Source organism: Homo sapiens, chromosome 12 (assembly GCF_000001405.40).
Source record: "Homo sapiens chromosome 12, GRCh38.p14 Primary Assembly".
NCBI lineage: Eukaryota > Metazoa > Chordata > Mammalia > Primates > Hominidae > Homo > Homo sapiens.
This window is the reverse complement of record NC_000012.12, coordinates 22,799,026-22,815,834: the sequence shown is the minus strand read 5'-3', so window position 1 is coordinate 22,815,834 and position 16,809 is coordinate 22,799,026. Positions and strand designations below refer to the sequence as shown.

Below are 16,809 nucleotides of genomic sequence, written 5' to 3'. Positions count from 1 at the left end.
TTCTGAATATAAACTAATGCTTTGATCCATCCTTTGAATGCAAGCAGAAACTCTTTTCTTTGAAGAAAGGCAGTCTTAACTTACAGGTATGAAAATGACACAGAAAAACCTGAAATAACACTATTCTAACTAAGCCAGATTTATATTCTGCTACTTTCTGCTTTAATGAGAACAAGGCAAGTAGTCCAAGTGGCTAACATTCATCGAGGCTTCCTATGGGCTAGGCTCTGCAAAAGGTGATTTTTACACATTAACTTTCCTAATGTTTTTATACTAGCATGAGTCAAATGCTGTTGGTCACTCCATTTTATGGCTTAGAAAACCAAGGCTTAGATAGGTTGCCTGAGATACGTTTCGTGAATATTCTTGCATCAAATATAGCATTGAATTCGCATGACATAGGAAGAGGTCCTGCATAATTGTAAACAGTGTCTCCACTACGACCCCCTCCCAGGACTATTTATCTCTTTCATGATACTGTCACACACATACTCTTTTATAAGCTCTCCGATCTGCTCAATAGTGAAGAAAGTGATTCACTTCAGCAAAACAAACCCATGTGGCTATTTTTTATCAAAAATGATCTATTTCATTGTGTGTTGGATAGTAAGATTCACACAATATATGGCATAGAATAAGTTCTCCTTAATTTTATGTGTTAAAATAGAAATTATTTAGCATTTTTACATTATACTTCAATGTTGGCTTTAAAGACATTTTTAATCTCAGTATTCTGCAATAAGACATCTTTTGCAATGAATATTAATACACTTGTTTCATGTAAATGTAATATATACATTCCTGCTTCTTTAAAATGAAAAAGCAGTCTCAAGGATGCTAAGACATATGTTTTAAATGAAATTCATGCTAGTGTTCTTGGTATTTTATTTTAACATGCTCCCTAAACCTTCCCTGCCACTACCATCACCTGATCAGAGATTCTTCATTTTCAGTGTCCTCTCTGACTACCCCACTTCCTGACAGTTTGCCAGATTCTCACAGACTTCCAGAATTGACAAAATACACTGTGAAAAAATGTCTTAACAATGTGCAAAGTTTTTCATGTATTTTATTGAAATATGTGCATATTACTTACAATATCGCTTAATAAGACATAAAACTGGAAAGTGTTCAAAAGTTAAAGCCCAGGCTGCTGTCATCATCTTCGTTCTTGTGAACTTAAATTACTTTTGTTGAAGAGGAAATAAAAAGGAAAGTAAATGTGGAGTTTACAAAGTATCCATCCTGGAGGCTAAAAAAAAAGTAAGGCAGACTTCAAAATCAACCCAAACTACAGATTCAGTCACCCAGTCAAGCTGACCATACCCTTCTCTTTTACACTTGGGCCAGCTGCAAGGGTCGGTAGTCCCAGCACTGAAGAGAGAAAAAAAGCAACTCACTTCTGCTGCGCAGGATCAGAGATTTCAAGCAAGAATGAATTTTGGAGCACTTTGAATCTACCCCCTTTATCTTATAGATGTGAAAACCAAGACTTCATCCGTTTTCAGTTTCAGGGTAAGTCAATGGAACAATCAAGAGAAATAAAAGTGCTCTGCTCTCACCCCTGTGCTCCTTATTTTATGATGTATGACCTTATTTGGGGACATGCAGTTCTAGGTATAGATCATTGCTTTCATTTCAATGGAATTATCCATATTATTTCCATTTCAATAAACTAATAAAGATCTTAAACTAAGCCAATAATTTGAAATTTTCATCAATAAATGAAAAAATAAAAGACTTCTGAGCACCTGTCAGTATTAAAGAAAATTAAACCTATACCCCTCCCTGACACAATAAAGAATTTAAAAGTTTATTTTCTAAAAGATACTAGAAAATAAAAATAGATTAAAAATACTAACAAAATAAATATACTAGAAAGTCACGCTGTGTCAGGCTGGGTCATATGGGACTAGAAGGCAGGTATTAAATTCTGCGGAGTTCCTATAATAAGGACTCAGATTGAACTCTGAGCTTTTGGGTGGCTACAAAAAAAAAGGGAAATGCAATTATATGAGTCTTGTCCTTTAAAAAACAAAACTCTTTCTAAAACTTGATTAAAAATAAAAATCTTTATTTGTGGATTTCACTAGTATTAAGTATCCTTCGCAAATAGGTTAAAATTATTTGCAAGAAAATTTTACTATAGCCAACTTAATCCATTACAAAGATCTGAGCCAATTAAATGACATAGGGACTCTGGTAGAATGGCCCTTTTCAGTGAATATCTTTGAAAAAAATCTGACTTATTTCCTCATTCTTTTTTTTCTAAAATGAGAATTCTGATTTCTTGTTTATTTTTTAGATCATTTATTCCCTTCATATTCAAAAGGCTATTTAGAGATTATATATATGCATACATAGATATACATACATACATATAGCACATATATCAGAATCATAGATTTTTAGAGTTGAACTGAATCATACATATTTTAAGTTTGACTCATTTGTTTTACAGATATAAAAATCCTTCCTCAAAAAGGTATACTTTTTTACCCATTGCCTCAAAATTAATTCATTTCCAGGCATCTAGGAAATGTCTTTCCTCTCTCTTAGTGTCACAAAACTTTGGAGACTCAGGCTCAGACATTATGACAACTGTTATTTCACTGTTCTACAAACTATATTAATGTAATTGCTGAACAGTCACCCCGAATATTGCCAAAAACATAGTACAGTGCTGTTTTCAACATACTATTAATGGCCATTTCAATGCATACATTTTTTTCTAAGAGACCAAATGACACATGACAGTTTGAACATGTGTCCGATTTAATGACCACTCTTATCTACCTTTTTAGTACAATCATCAACAAGGTACTTATTTTTAAATAAAAAGATAACAAATTCTGGTACTCTAACTGCCAGCACTCATACCATGTAAATAAAGTATATCAGCTTTATTAGGGTCCTCAGTTGCAAACACACTCTTGAGGAGGAATGTATTAAGAAGATCTTGAGTACCTCTCAAAATTGCCATGAAAGTGCAATTTTGGAAGAGGGAGAGAAACAAAGGATTTCCAAAAACAGCTCAGAGTGACATCACTAAACCAGTCTGGTGAGGACACAGATGCGCCACCCCACACATTAGTCACCACAGCATGTGCCGCCACCAACAAAAGAGCCCGACATTGATGATGCTGCTGTGGCCCTGCCACACTGCCCGCTGGACACTGGTGTGGCTTCCTCTGCTGCCACCACCAGCAACATGAGTTCCCTACTTCATTGCATCACCTATGCCCAATTCAAAGTTCAAAGCAAGTACATCCGAACAGCAATTCAATTGTCCTATACCTCAGCAGCAAAGAAGACTAAGAAAGCAAGTAAGTGGCAATTTTGAATTCCACAGTAAGAGGCGGGATATACCTTCCACCAAGATTCTGGATTTTTTTTTTCTTTTAAAGATGGAGTCTTGCTCTGTCCCCCAGGCTGGAGTGCAGTGGCGCACAACCATAGCTCGCTGCAGCCTGGACCTCCTACACTCAAGCGATCCTCTCGCCTCAGCCTCCTAGAGTAGCTGGGACTACAGGCGTGTGCCACAATGCCCAGCTAACTTGTTTATTTTTGTTTTTTGTAGAGTCAGAGTCTTGCTATGTTGCCCAGGCAGGTCTTGAACCCCTGGGCTCAAGCAATCCTCCTGCCTCAGGAGTGCTGAGATTACAGTCATGAGCCACCAAAGTGCTGGGATTACAGTCATGAGCCACCAGCCCTGCTGCACCACCAAGATTCCTCCTAAGATATGGGGTTCAAATGCACATGGCTCCTGGTCCCCATAAGCAAATACTTTCATTCACTGTTCTGATTTTATTAACAGCAACATTGTTAATAGCATTAACAGCAATGTTGTTACTTCATAGTGATCAGCCTTGAAGAAGAGCTAGTGAATAAATGACTTTGTAAGTCACTCTTTAACCTGAAAAAATAAAAATAAAAATAAACTGTAGATTAATTCATCTTATCCAGATTTGGACTCTGCTGTGATGACAAATTTTCTCCATGAAGGAAAAAAACCTTCCAAACAGAAAATGTCTGACCAGTATCTACTAGTTGCTAAGTTAGCATACATTTTTGTGGTAAAAAAAACAATTTTATTTTCTCCCCATTTTATTACAAAGTTGTCCTAAAAGATGAAATTCGAGTAATTTTCAAAATCTATTTCTTACTGAACACACTGAGGAACATCCTCCTCTGAAGAAAAATATTTTTTCTCTAAGCAATCCAATCACTTCAGGCATGTCAAGGGTCCACAATCCAGGGATGGGCTGCCCCAGACCTAGGTTTGCCCATTTCATCAATATCATGTTTACTAAAAACTAGCATCTTCTTGAAAATTTTCTGGACAGCCATCTGGACAGCTATCTGGACAGCCCACACAGGCTTGAGCAAGAATTTAATCTCGTAGGTATAATACATTCCTCAAGATTTAATTCAAATAAGAACATTTTTATGTCACACTCAAACTATAGAGATATGAAAGTTTAGAAATTCCAAATTTGGTAATTACACAGAAAACAAACTTTGTTAGCAATCGCTGGGACAGAATTTCACTCCGCTTTCTTGAATAATTTTCAAGAAGGCTTCTTATATACCCTCCTATGAAAGAAATATCATTTCTCTATTTAAAAGCGATTTCTCTAAAGTGCCCAAGTACAGATGGGGTCAAGTGGCTTCATCTTTGTGATGTGGAACTGACTGAAATGAAGAAAAGAACTGAGTAACATTTGAATGGTACAATTTAATTACCAAACTTCAGCCTTTATTTTGACAAGTTGATCTCTCTTTTTAATAAATGTAACTGGCATTTAAAGATATGTCCATGATGGCAAATTATGTGACTGGGGTTTTTAGGAAATGTTTTCCAATTTGGCAATAAGGAAATATGAGAGAATTTAAATATCATAAAAATACTAGTGAGCACTCATTCAGGTGCTTTTTTTTTCAGACACGAAATTGGGGGTGAAGGCCTTTATTAGAATCAGAGACTGCAAACATTTATTATAATGTTAATCCTATATCGCTTTTGATTTTGTGTGTGTGTGTGTGTGTGTGTGTGTGTGTGAGACCTTGCCCAATTTATTCAACTTATTTGGTGATTTTTATAATATTCTATGATATCACCACATTTTTCTGATATCTTTAGAAACTCAGTGAAATTTTACTAGAGTACTAGTTATAGAGTGATTTGAGAGCTTTCATTTCAATGTAAAATTTTGTTAGAACGTTTATTTATTCATTTAGGTTTTTTGATTGAATAAACCCTAAAACATGTTTACCTAGAAAAAATGTAGGACTCCCTTAAACATGTTTCCCTAGAAAAAATGTAGAACTCTAAGGCCTTCTGAATTAACTGAAAGCAATTTTTTCCAAGAACATTTAATAGTCTCCATTTCTTTTTGAGGAATTATACTGCCATGAGCATTTTTGTGATGTTTCATCCACTGAAGTAAAAACTTATGGCAGTTTAATTCCCCAAATAAAAGGGGCTGCTGTAAACATAACTGAGTTATCAGGAAGCAGATGGTTTTAATTATCTACATAAAAAGCTATTTATATTGGGAATTTGAAAAAACAATCTAGAAACAATACTCACTGTAGAAACATACATTTAATTAATTTGGGCTTTAAAAAGGAATGACGAGTGATTATTATGTGTTACTTAAAAGTCAAATCGACATTAAAGGCTAGTTATGGAAAACTTGAGTGCCTCTGAGACAAGCCTTAAAGAACTGCATTGCATATGTAATTGTACATTTGATCTCTTACAAATAAATTCAGAGGAAGAGGATTATTTTAAAATCAGCACAAGCTCACTTGCATGATAAAATAATAGCCTGTGCTTGATCCAGGAAGTAAGCTCATACTATAGACTCTACAAAGCATACCAAATTTTGTATCTAGGAACACTCATTGGGACTTCAGAACCAAGGGCAATTCATGCTGGATAATTTTTATTTTTCCTCCCCGAAAGATTCTTTTTTATTTTTTTTTTTTAAGCTAGGAAACAGCGTAGGGTAGTAGTTAAGAGCAAACAACCCTCAGGTACAGGGTTGCCAAGTTTAGCAATAAAAATACAGGACATTGAGTTAGATTTGAAATTCAGTATAAGTTCCATGCAATACTGAGACATACTTATACTTGAAAATTATTTGTTGTTTATCTGAAATTCAAATTTAACTGAGTGTTCTATATTTAATCTGGCAACCCTGTCTAGGTGCCAATCCTGTCTCAGTCACTTACTAGCTACATGAATTTGGGCAGGTTATTTAATGCCTCTGTACCTGGGTTTTCTCATCAGTATAATGAGGATAATAATGGCACCTAACTTACAGGTTTGTTTGACAATTAAATGAGTTAATGTTTATAGAGTGCTTAGAATTGTACTTGGCATGTAGTGAGTACTATATATTTTGTTAAAAAACATTACTCCTTCCTGGAAGAAAAAAATCAGTCAAAAAGAACAGCTTTAGAGCCCATGTGAAAAGGTCTTTTGCCTTACTATTTCTGAAAATACCTACGTGTTAATTACAGATCCATGTGACTCAGTTCCTTCAGTTACTATTGATGCACAGACATTAGGGAAATTACCCCCCAGCCCCTCAGGATTACATAGCCCCAGACTACTCAAGTATTCGCCTATGCAGAACAGCCACTTTTATCCGGAACTGGATACAAGTGCAAATATAACTCAAAAGGCAGGGGGAAAAATCCTTAGCTGGAGCAGTCAAGCTACATGGGCATTCACTAAGAGTCTGTAGTTCTCCCTGGTGATGACTCTTTTCTGTTCAACCTCCAATCAAAAAGCTATCTACCATTCCCTCTCCCAAAAAGAATGAAATTTTGTCAACTGCTGCAATTGAAGCATGAAGGAACACACAAGTAGAACACCAGGCAATGGTGGGAGTGGGGGCAAACTCAGTGCTCTAACAAAGAGCAGAGTAATTAATCAGGGGAATATGCAAATAGCATTAGGAGACTTGGGACAGGAGGGGCAGTGGTGAAGGTGGAGAAAACCCACTTAAAATTCTAAGGACCAGACTTGGTTCTTAAAGGGAATTTTCAGCAGTATTTTCTAAAATTCCAAACAACCTTAAGGATCCTATATTCACTTCCTAGGGCTACGTGACAAACTACCACAAACTACGTGGCTTGAAAATCATAGAAATTACTTGTCTTGCAGTTGTGAAACCCAGGAGTTCAAAATCAAGAGGCTGGCAATTTTGGTTCCTTCTGGAAACACTGAGGGAGGATCTTGCCAGCGATATTAGTCCATTTTCACACTGCTATAAAGATACTACCCAAGTCTGGGTCTTTTATAAGCAAAGGAGGTTTAATTGACTCACAGTTCTGCATGGCTGGGGAGGCCTCAGGAAACTTGCAATCATGGCAGAAGGTGAAGGAGAAACAAATGATATGGACAGGAGGCAGGGAAATACTGGGTAGAAGAGGGAGGATCCCCGGCAAAGGCTCCACCCTCAAGCCTGGAAACCGTGGCCCTAAATGAGAACAATTATCCGTGTTTTCTAACCTGAATGTTGATTTTTCCAAAACCACCCTGGCCCACCACACTCCGACATCCTGTACCCATAAAAATCCCAAACTCCACTGGCAGAGGAGCAGAGCAGTGTGGCAGAGAAGGACAGAAGAGAAGAAGCGTCTGAACATCTAAGAGACAACTGGATGGTCAGAAAGGAGTTCGGCTCTTTCTGAGAAAGATGATTTTCCCACTCCATCCTGTTTCCAGTTCCCCATCCCACTGAGAGCCACCTCCATCACTCAAAACCTCCACATTCACCATCCTTCAAGTCCATGTGACCTGATTCTTCCTGGGCATTAGACAAAGACCCAAGTACCAAAAGGGCAGGGTGTAAAGGGCTGTCACCCTGACTCTCCACTGAGCTGATTAACACTTAGCTGTTGTGGACAGCAACTGCTAAAAGAGCATTAATTGTAACACACCCCTGGATGCTACAATGGGGCTGAAGCCTAGAAGCCCTCGCCCTGGCCCTACCACCCACTTGCCTGCATGCTCCCCCTCCTGCAAGGGCTTTGAACACGGAGGCCAGGTAAGCAAGCCACACCCCTGTTGTAAGTCATGCGAAGGGGTCCAGGGTCCTCTCGCATCTCACAAGGATCTTCTTCATATGGCAGCAGGAGAAAGAAGTGCAGGTGGGTGAAATGTCAGACACTTATAAAACCACCACATCTCCTGAGAACTCACTCACTATCAGGAGAACAGCATGGGGGAAACTGACCCCATGATCCAATCTAAACACATGGGGACTACAATTCGAGATGAGATTTGGGTGAGGACACAGCCAAACCATATCACAAGCAACTGACGTTCTTTGGCCAATAGATGCATCACTCTAATCTTTGTCTCTGCCTTCACATGGCCTTCTTTCTTGTGTTTCTGTGGCTTCTTTTCTGTTTCTAATAAAGACACCCATCATTGGATTTAGGGCCCAACCTAATTCAGGATGATCTCTTCTCAAGATCCTTAACAATTACATTTGCAAAATCCCTTATTCCAAATAGGGTTACAGTGTGATGTTTCTGGTAGACACACCATTTGGCAGGTGGGGGAACACCATTCAATCCACTAAGTACCTCAAAACAAGTAACTGACAGTTCAGAGTAGGCTAGCTTAGAATAGAGCAAAATAGAATATGAAGAAGAAAATCAGTGGAACTTAGACAAAACAAAATGAGAAGGAGTTTAGCATAGACCTGAATGGAGACCTACCTCTTAGAAATACTAGATTAAGTGTTTTCATCACTTATTTAATAAAGAGAAATTAGAGACTGATATTTAAAATTTATTATCACAGGCAATTTGCCAAATACCATTTGTAATACACCTTATAAAGTTCATTTTTAGTCATTTTCAACAAATTGTTTTTTATTATCTTCAAAATTACCCAGCTTTCCCCAGTTCTACCAGAGATGGTTGTAAAATAAATAATGACAAGACTGTGGTTCCCACAGTCAGAACTAGGCTAGTAGAATAATTCAGGAAAAAAAAACTGCCTAGACTTCCAAGTTTGCTACATGCTACCTAAGGGCATTTTGGAAATAGCCTGAGGTCTCCTATAATCTAGTGATTTTAACTTGCATCTTTAAGAATCTATTAGCTGCCAGGTTCTAAACCAGGAGAGTTTTTAATATTGTATATAACTCTCACAGCCACACTATAATGGAGGTGTCATCTATGTTTTATAAATGACAAAATCAGGATATGAACCTAGGTCTTTCTAACAACTAAATTCATACTGTTCCACTTCATCTTAATCCTTCCTACAAGGTTGAAGAGTATATTTTGAACATGGAAACCCCCTCCAGTTAAGCGGACCCATTTTCCTTCTTTGTATCTTTGCAACATGTAGCATAGTGCTAGATACTTCCTATGCTTTGTATAAATGGGCAATGACTTGTTGAGTGGAAAGTGAAACATCCTGCGACAAACCTGGGCTGGAGAACTAGGCTGAATCCAATTCATTATATAGTACTAAGAAACTAGTTACCCACTTCTGCAAATGTCTGGGAAGTTCAATTAGATAGAATGATGAAATTTTCACAGTAAATACCTACAGTCTGGTCAGACAACCTACAAGGGCTAAAACTTCTGACTCAGAAAAGTATCTTTTCCTAAAAATGCAAAGGAAGTAACAAGAAGACAGCTGTGTTGATTCAGTTTAAGTAACAAGGCCATGCTGTTTCGAATACCATTTAAAGGTAGACCATATGAAACTCAGTATTTATACATTGCAATGCAGACTTTGTGGTTATTAAAAAAAAGTACCATGATTCTTTGCTTGAATTTAACAGATTAGTCTCCACCCATCCATCAAAATAATGATTTAAATGAACTCTTGGTTATTCAAAGGCAATTTATCCCATTTACCTAGACCCTTTGCTTCTCCTGCTTATTAATCATAATGATAACTGTGAATTCCTGATCAAAGTGTAGAAGGGACATGGGGATATAAATGAACTTCAAGTGAAATAATGTAGATACTTATTAGCAGTTAATATGAAAAGTTTGCTAGAGAAAAAAAAATTACTGCCACAAAATAAAACATTAATCAAAAGTTTGTTTCGTGTTTTAATTTCCAAGTGGTGTGTATCTGTGATCTCTCTGTCCCTCAATACTCAATACTCTACCATACAAAGAATTAGAAGAGCAGGCCGGGCACAATGGCTTATGCCTGTAATCCCAGCGCTTTGGGAGGCTGAGGTGGGAGGATCACGTGAGCCCACTTCAAGACCAGGCGGGGCAACATGGTGAAACCCCATCTCTACAAAAAAATTAGCCAGGCATGATGGCACATGCCTGTAGTCCCAGATACTTAGGAGGCTGAGGTGAGAGGATCCCTTGAGCCTGGGAGGCAGAGGTTGCAGTGAGCCATAACTGTGCCAGTGCACTTCATCCTGGATGAAAGAGTGAGACTCTGTCACCAAAAAAAAAAAAAAAATTAGAAGAGCAATTCATTTTTGCTCTTACTAGCCACATTGATGAGTAACATCAGGGACTTCATTATTACGTATGTCTCAAAATGTTGAAAGTCTGTGATAAAATCTAAAGAATATGTTCTGTCCTGTTTTAGCTGCAAAAGTACAATTCTGAAATGATAAAATTATCCTATGGAAGAATGGTTAAGAGTTTTGCCTCCTATAATTTACCATGAACCCAATCGATTATATTTCTAAAGCAGGGATTGCTAGAATTTAGAAAGATTTGGTGCAGATTTTGATTATATTCATTTTGATATGTTTGTAGTGGAGCTTCGAGGGAATTGGAAGAGAATTACATTAAGCAGCAAGGAGTTGTGAAGCTGTGTCGCCCACCAAAATGAATAAGGGGTCTTTGGTTCTCATGGCCAGTGGAAGAGGTGAGAGAGGTGGAAGTGGGTGCGAGCACACTGTAATGGGAAAGGAGGAGATGGAGCCTAGTGCCAAGAACTAGCTCGTGTCACTTGAAAACCAATTCTTTGATCCTCTTGAGTTGTCAGCGACACCTGATATATGCTCATTCACTCATTCATTCAGCAAGTAGCTATTGCCTCCATAGTCTGTATTTGTATTTGGACACTTTCCAGTTGTTGAGGCCTCTTGTAGTCATAAAAACATGGTAAAATCAACACAAGTAAGGGCATGTTGAATAACAAACACTAGGAACATTGTGTATATTTATCAATGGTAGATTAGTTAAATTATCTTTAATCTATACAGTGGAATACTATAAAGCCTCTGATACAGAAGGGCTGGGCTCCCAGCTAAACCCCACCCTTAAGCCTGGAACTGCAGCTCTAAGTGAAAACCGCTGATTCCATTTTTCTGCCCATATGTTGCCTTTTTGGCCTGCTATGCCCCTATCCTGTGCCCATAAAAAGACTTCAGCTGGCAGAGCAACACAAGCAACTGAGCATCAGGGATAAAAGCAGCTGGACATCAGGGATACAAGCTGCTGAGTGGTGGGGATTTAAGCAGCTGAGTGGCGAGCACAGAAGCAACTGAGCATCAGAGACTATGGATAGACACAGCTAACTTCAGATGGTGCGGCTTCAGGGAAAGATCACCTTCTTCCTGCACCATCCCCTTTCCAACTCCCTATCCTGCTGAGAGCCACTTCCATCACCCAGTTAAACCCTCCACATACACTACCCTTCAATTCGTTTGTGTGATCTGATTCTTCCTGGATGCCAGACAAGAACCTTAGTGCCAAGAAGGCAGGGGCGGCTACCATGACCCTCCACTGAGCTGGTTGGCATTTGGCCATCCTCGGACAGCAGAGCTGAAAGAGCAATGGTTGTAACACATTTGGATGTTGCTGTGGGGCCTACACAGGGCCTGCTCCCGCCAAAGAGGAGCGACTGGCCAGTTCCAGCATTCATTTGCCCCGGTTCCTGCACTCACTTGCTCACACGCTCCCCCTTGTGAGGAGTGGCCAGCAGCAGGCTGAGTGAGATGAGCCACTCCAGTTCCTGCCCACCAAGGGGGTCAAGGTCAAGGGAACAATCTTGTCTCACTTTTAAAGGATTCAATAAAAGATATCTCATAAGGAAAAATTATGACATATTATAAATTTTTATAATTTTATAATTGGGAGATGTACCTAATGCTAGATGACGAGTTAGTGGGTGCAGCGCACCAGCATGGCACATGTATACATATGTAACTAACCTGCACATTGTGCACATGTACCCTAAAACTTAAAGTATAATAATTAAAAAAATTATAAAACAGTAAAACATACTTTAAAAAATATATAATATATAAATACATAGTTTTTTAAGTACTGAAAAAGACATACTTAAAATTCCAAGGATGTTTACCCTTGGGGTGGTAGAATTCCAGAAAAGTTTTGCATTCTAAACATTTGTGACAGGCAGAATAAGGCCCCCCAACCACCAAGATGTCCATGCCCTAATCCCCAGATTTTGTAAATATGTTACTTTACATGGCAAAAGGGACTTTGTAGATGTTATTAAGTATCTTGAGATGGGCAGTTTATCTTGGAGTCTGGGTGGGCCCAATGTCATCGTGAGGATCTTTTAAGAGGAAGGCACAAGGGTCAAACTCAGAAAAGAGGGTGTGAGGACAGAAGCAGACAACAGAGAAGGTCATGAGCCAAGAAATGTGGGCAGCCCCTAGAGACTGAAAAAGACAAGGAACAAATTCTCTCCTAGAGCCTCTAGATGGAACACTGCCTTGACTTCAGTTTCGTAAGACTTATTTTGGACTTCTGATATCCAAAACTGTAAGATAATACTCTAGTGTTGTTTTAAGCCACTATGCTTGTGGTAATTGTTACAGCAGCAATAGGAACCACTACAGCATTCCACATGAACTTTATATGTTTTAACAAAGCACCAATAATTTTTAAACGTATATCCCAAGTGACTTTATTTTCATTCGTCCTGTTATGACCAAGGTAGGGTTTATAGTACTTTCCAAGAAGCTAATCAGAAAGCCTTTAAAGCTTCCAGATCTCTAAACCCCCCACTGGAACTATGGTGTGAACTAGGTCTTAAGTCAGATGCCTCCACAGCACATGTTATACTTAACTCTTTCATACTTAACTCTTTCATAATAGTATTGTATTAAATGAAAGGCTACCAAAAGAAACAGAAGTCTTGCCATGAACATTAAGGCAATCACGAAGCACCTTGTATGCTATTTCATGGTATGCCTATTTGCTCTCTGCCCACACCCCACCCATTCAGCCCCGCTCCCAGTTTCATTGAGTTCTAATAAGCAATAGCATTTTTCTACCATTTAACTGTCAGGTTTTTGTTGTTCTGTTTTGTTTTGTTAGGGGAAGGACTTTTTATAAGTCCAAGTATCTTTTGCTTTGCAATTAGATATCTTTGTCTAATTCATGTTGTCTGCCTTTTTATATTTCTATCTAATACAAACTATTAAGCCATAAACCAATACTAGACACAAATTCCAGGTATTTATAAGGGGTAGAATTGTGTCTTTAAGGAGTTGACAATCTATCGGAAAAACCAAAAAAAGACACATGGTGCTTTGAAGTAAGGTAGAGATAAGCAAACAGGCCAATTCCTAACCACAATCCTAGGAGATCTGAGAAGGGACACTGGAGAAAGTGATAACCAAGTTCTACAACCAACAGAGCCTGAGATGTATCGATTGATCTAACTGGGTAAAATATAGCTGGAACAATTCTCAAATTCCTGCTGTCACCAATAATAACACAACTAACATTGGCTCAGAAATTCACAGTTGATGAAGCATGTCTCAAATATGGTGGAGGTTAAGTGAGACCACATCTCTTGTTGTTTTCCCTATTGAACACTTACGAAAAGGAGCAGATAAGTTAAATGAGCTGCCCAGGAAAATACAGATGTAGCTAAGTAAATCTATTCCATCACCAAATTCCCCCATTGTCAAGCTACTTCTAAGGAAAGAGACACAACTAATGCATCATTAGAAACTAAATTATGACTTAAAAACAAATACATATCTCTAAAAAGAAATCACCAAAAAATGGTATTCAGTTGCTTGCCAATAAACACCATAGCCATCTGACAAAACTATCTGAAAATGAGCAGTAGAAAACTAGATTCAGTAATATTAAATTTAATTAATACCAAATTGTAACTGCTTTCCCAATGAAAGCTAAAATCAAAATGACAAAAAATTTGAAGCTAAATTATTTTCAACAATTATCTTGAATCAGATGCTGTTACTGCCGCCTCCAATTTTCACTGATTGCCAATTCCAAGAAAAAAAATGGTAATTTTTTGTAAGTTTTGAGAAATTTTAATTTAATGAAACACAAAATCATGATCTCCAAAACCAAGTCATAAGTTATTTGGGATAATATTTCAATATAATATCTATATGGAACTATTACATATCAGTTTCAGCTGAGAATTCCAACTATTTTCAAATTCCAAAGTGAGGGACAAGACCAGCATACAAAAAAGATGGCCAAAAACCTGTTTGCAACTTTTAGCCTTTTACTTATAACATAGTTATATTAAGAAAAACTATTCAAAAGTTGGAAATGCAGCAAAAAGGTGACCGTGTGCTTTTTCAAAGTCATGCAGAACCATGGCCTATCAATACCACCTAAGGGTTACCTGATGCTCTAAAGTAGAAGTCAGCAAGCTATTTCTGCAAAGGGTCTTATAGTAAATATTTGAGGCTTTGCAAGATATGGTCTCTATCTCAACTACTCTGTCACTGCAGTGTGAAACAGTTATAGGCAATCAAAGAATGGGAGTGGCTGTGTTCCAATAAAACTTTATTTGCAAAAATAGGCCTGGTTTCATTCAGCCTGCAGGCTGTAGTTTGCCTACCCTTGCTCTAGAGCAAGATACCTTTTCTCTTTACCTTAGCTTGGGGCCGGGAATCTGTGACACATTAGATACCCAGTTGAAGATGATTAATAAATTACAAATTATTTTTGTTCAGTAGAGATGAAAATGATTTCTGCCTGATAGAAAAAAATAATGCCAAAAGATACCATTTCATTGCTCCATAAGACATTAGCCAGTTTTGTATCTAACTTTTCTATCTTGTTTCAGCATTCTTTCTTTCACCAACCTTATTATACTTACATGCTTCGGTATCTCTTATCCTCAACTGAACCATCCCTCATTTTCATCACTCAGTTATGAGTAACATAAATCTTTGGCATGTGCTCACTGCATATTTGTATGAGAATTAGGCTTTTAACATTTTTGAAAAGTGTATTTCGACGGTATAAAAGGGTAAAGTAGGAACCTGGAGAAGGATTTCTTTGAAGAAAGCTAGCTTGTGAGTCATACCATGCACCTCCTTGGGGAAGGTGCCTAAGTTTGCTCCTCCTCTCAAGCCTAAGGAATAGGCTTCATAGGATCCCTTGGAGTTTTGATGTGTGTCTCTGACAGCATGGGGAATACTCTGGGATGTAAACTCTAAAGGGTGAATGGCTGTGGCTTGCTGGTGGCTCCACTGTTGGAATAAAGAGAGTGAGCAGCACTGGGGGTGCCCTTTACATTCAAGGTTTGTCAGGCAATACATGCTTGAGTATTTCCTGCTTTCCATACATGGGCTGTGCAAGGGGAGCTATCTTGGAGTTGTCTCAGAGTCTGCTAAACCAAGTCGTCTGGAGGCACAGGGCACCACTATATACCTAGGGGCTAAGCAAGGAGTTAGCAAGGAGCCAGCCAGAGTCAAGGGTTTGGGAGGGGAGAGGGTAATTCCCAAAGAACTCATAAAAAGCATCCTAAGAGAAACCTCAGATGGTGTTGACTCTGCCAACAATTGTATGTCAAGTCAAACCTTTCTGCTGCCTGTGGCTACTCATTTTCCTGCTGCAATTCTAAGACAGTCCAGAAATCAGCCTAGTAAGTGGAATAGAACCTCTAGGCAGAAATAGAAAAGAAACTGACCATGCTATTCTAACTACAGGAAGCCAAGTCTCAGACACAAAGTGTGATAGAGGGAAATTTCAATAAAATTACACATTTTGATTATGACACTGAACTGACAGTATCAATTACTAAACTGAGAATACAGTGACCAGAACAACTTTTATTGCCAACAGTGACCAGAAAGAATGTCACTTGTCCTAGAGAGCAGATTTGCCAGGCAATGAGGCAAAGGAATTGAGCGGTTTTCTGATGACATCCACTTGCCCCAGCACTTCTGATGTGTATTAATTAGCCCAAGAGGGAAGTGAAAGGGGAAGGTGAAAATCTAGCTTTCCTCTGGGAAAAAAAAATAACAAATATTCAAGACTTCTCATTTAGAAGGCACTTTTTGCTACACCTGGGGATCAGGAAGGGAGAATTTCGCCTATATAATATGCCAATAGGGAAAGGGAACAATTGGAAAACAAAATATGTTTAGAGTGATGCATTTGTGTGGAAGATTTCATCTGAGTATTTTTCTTCACTAAAGAAATGTTCTCAACCTATTGATTTGTATGATCACTCACGCTGTTCCTACACATTCATTTTAAACCTAAATTCATGATTTTTAAAGTACATATTCATCGGAAAGGCCATTTTACAACTCTTAGATTTGCTTTATTTTCTGGTAAGTGATAGATACAGAGCAGTGGTTCTCAACTAAGGGAGATTTTGCCACACAGGGGACACTTGGCAATATCGGGATATTTTATTAGTTGTCATAACTGTAGTGATACTACGGGCACATAGTGGGTAGAGGCCAGGGATGCTGTTAACCATCCTAAAATGGACAGCTCAGTCCTCCACAACTAAGCCATATCTGGCACACAAGGTCAATAGTACCAAAGTCGAAAAGCCTGAATATAAACTGGTCTTCCAGG

General features: G+C 38.3%; 1 long non-coding RNA gene across 13 annotated transcripts in view, besides 1 other annotated feature; it reads right to left on the bottom strand.

Annotated features, from left to right (window-relative positions):
• The window catches only part of LINC02955 (long intergenic non-protein coding RNA 2955), a 491,729-nt gene that overhangs the window by 375,753 nt on the left and 99,167 nt on the right, over positions 1-16,809 (bottom strand). The window lies entirely within an intron of this gene.
• Positions 12,594-12,794: a silencer, noted in NCBI's record as "peak1602 fragment used in MPRA reporter construct". NCBI's record gives its function as "represses an SCP1 promoter by STARR-seq MPRAs in K562 erythroleukemia cells {active_cell/tissue: K562}" and the evidence as "EXISTENCE:reporter gene assay evidence [ECO:0000049][PMID:32103011]".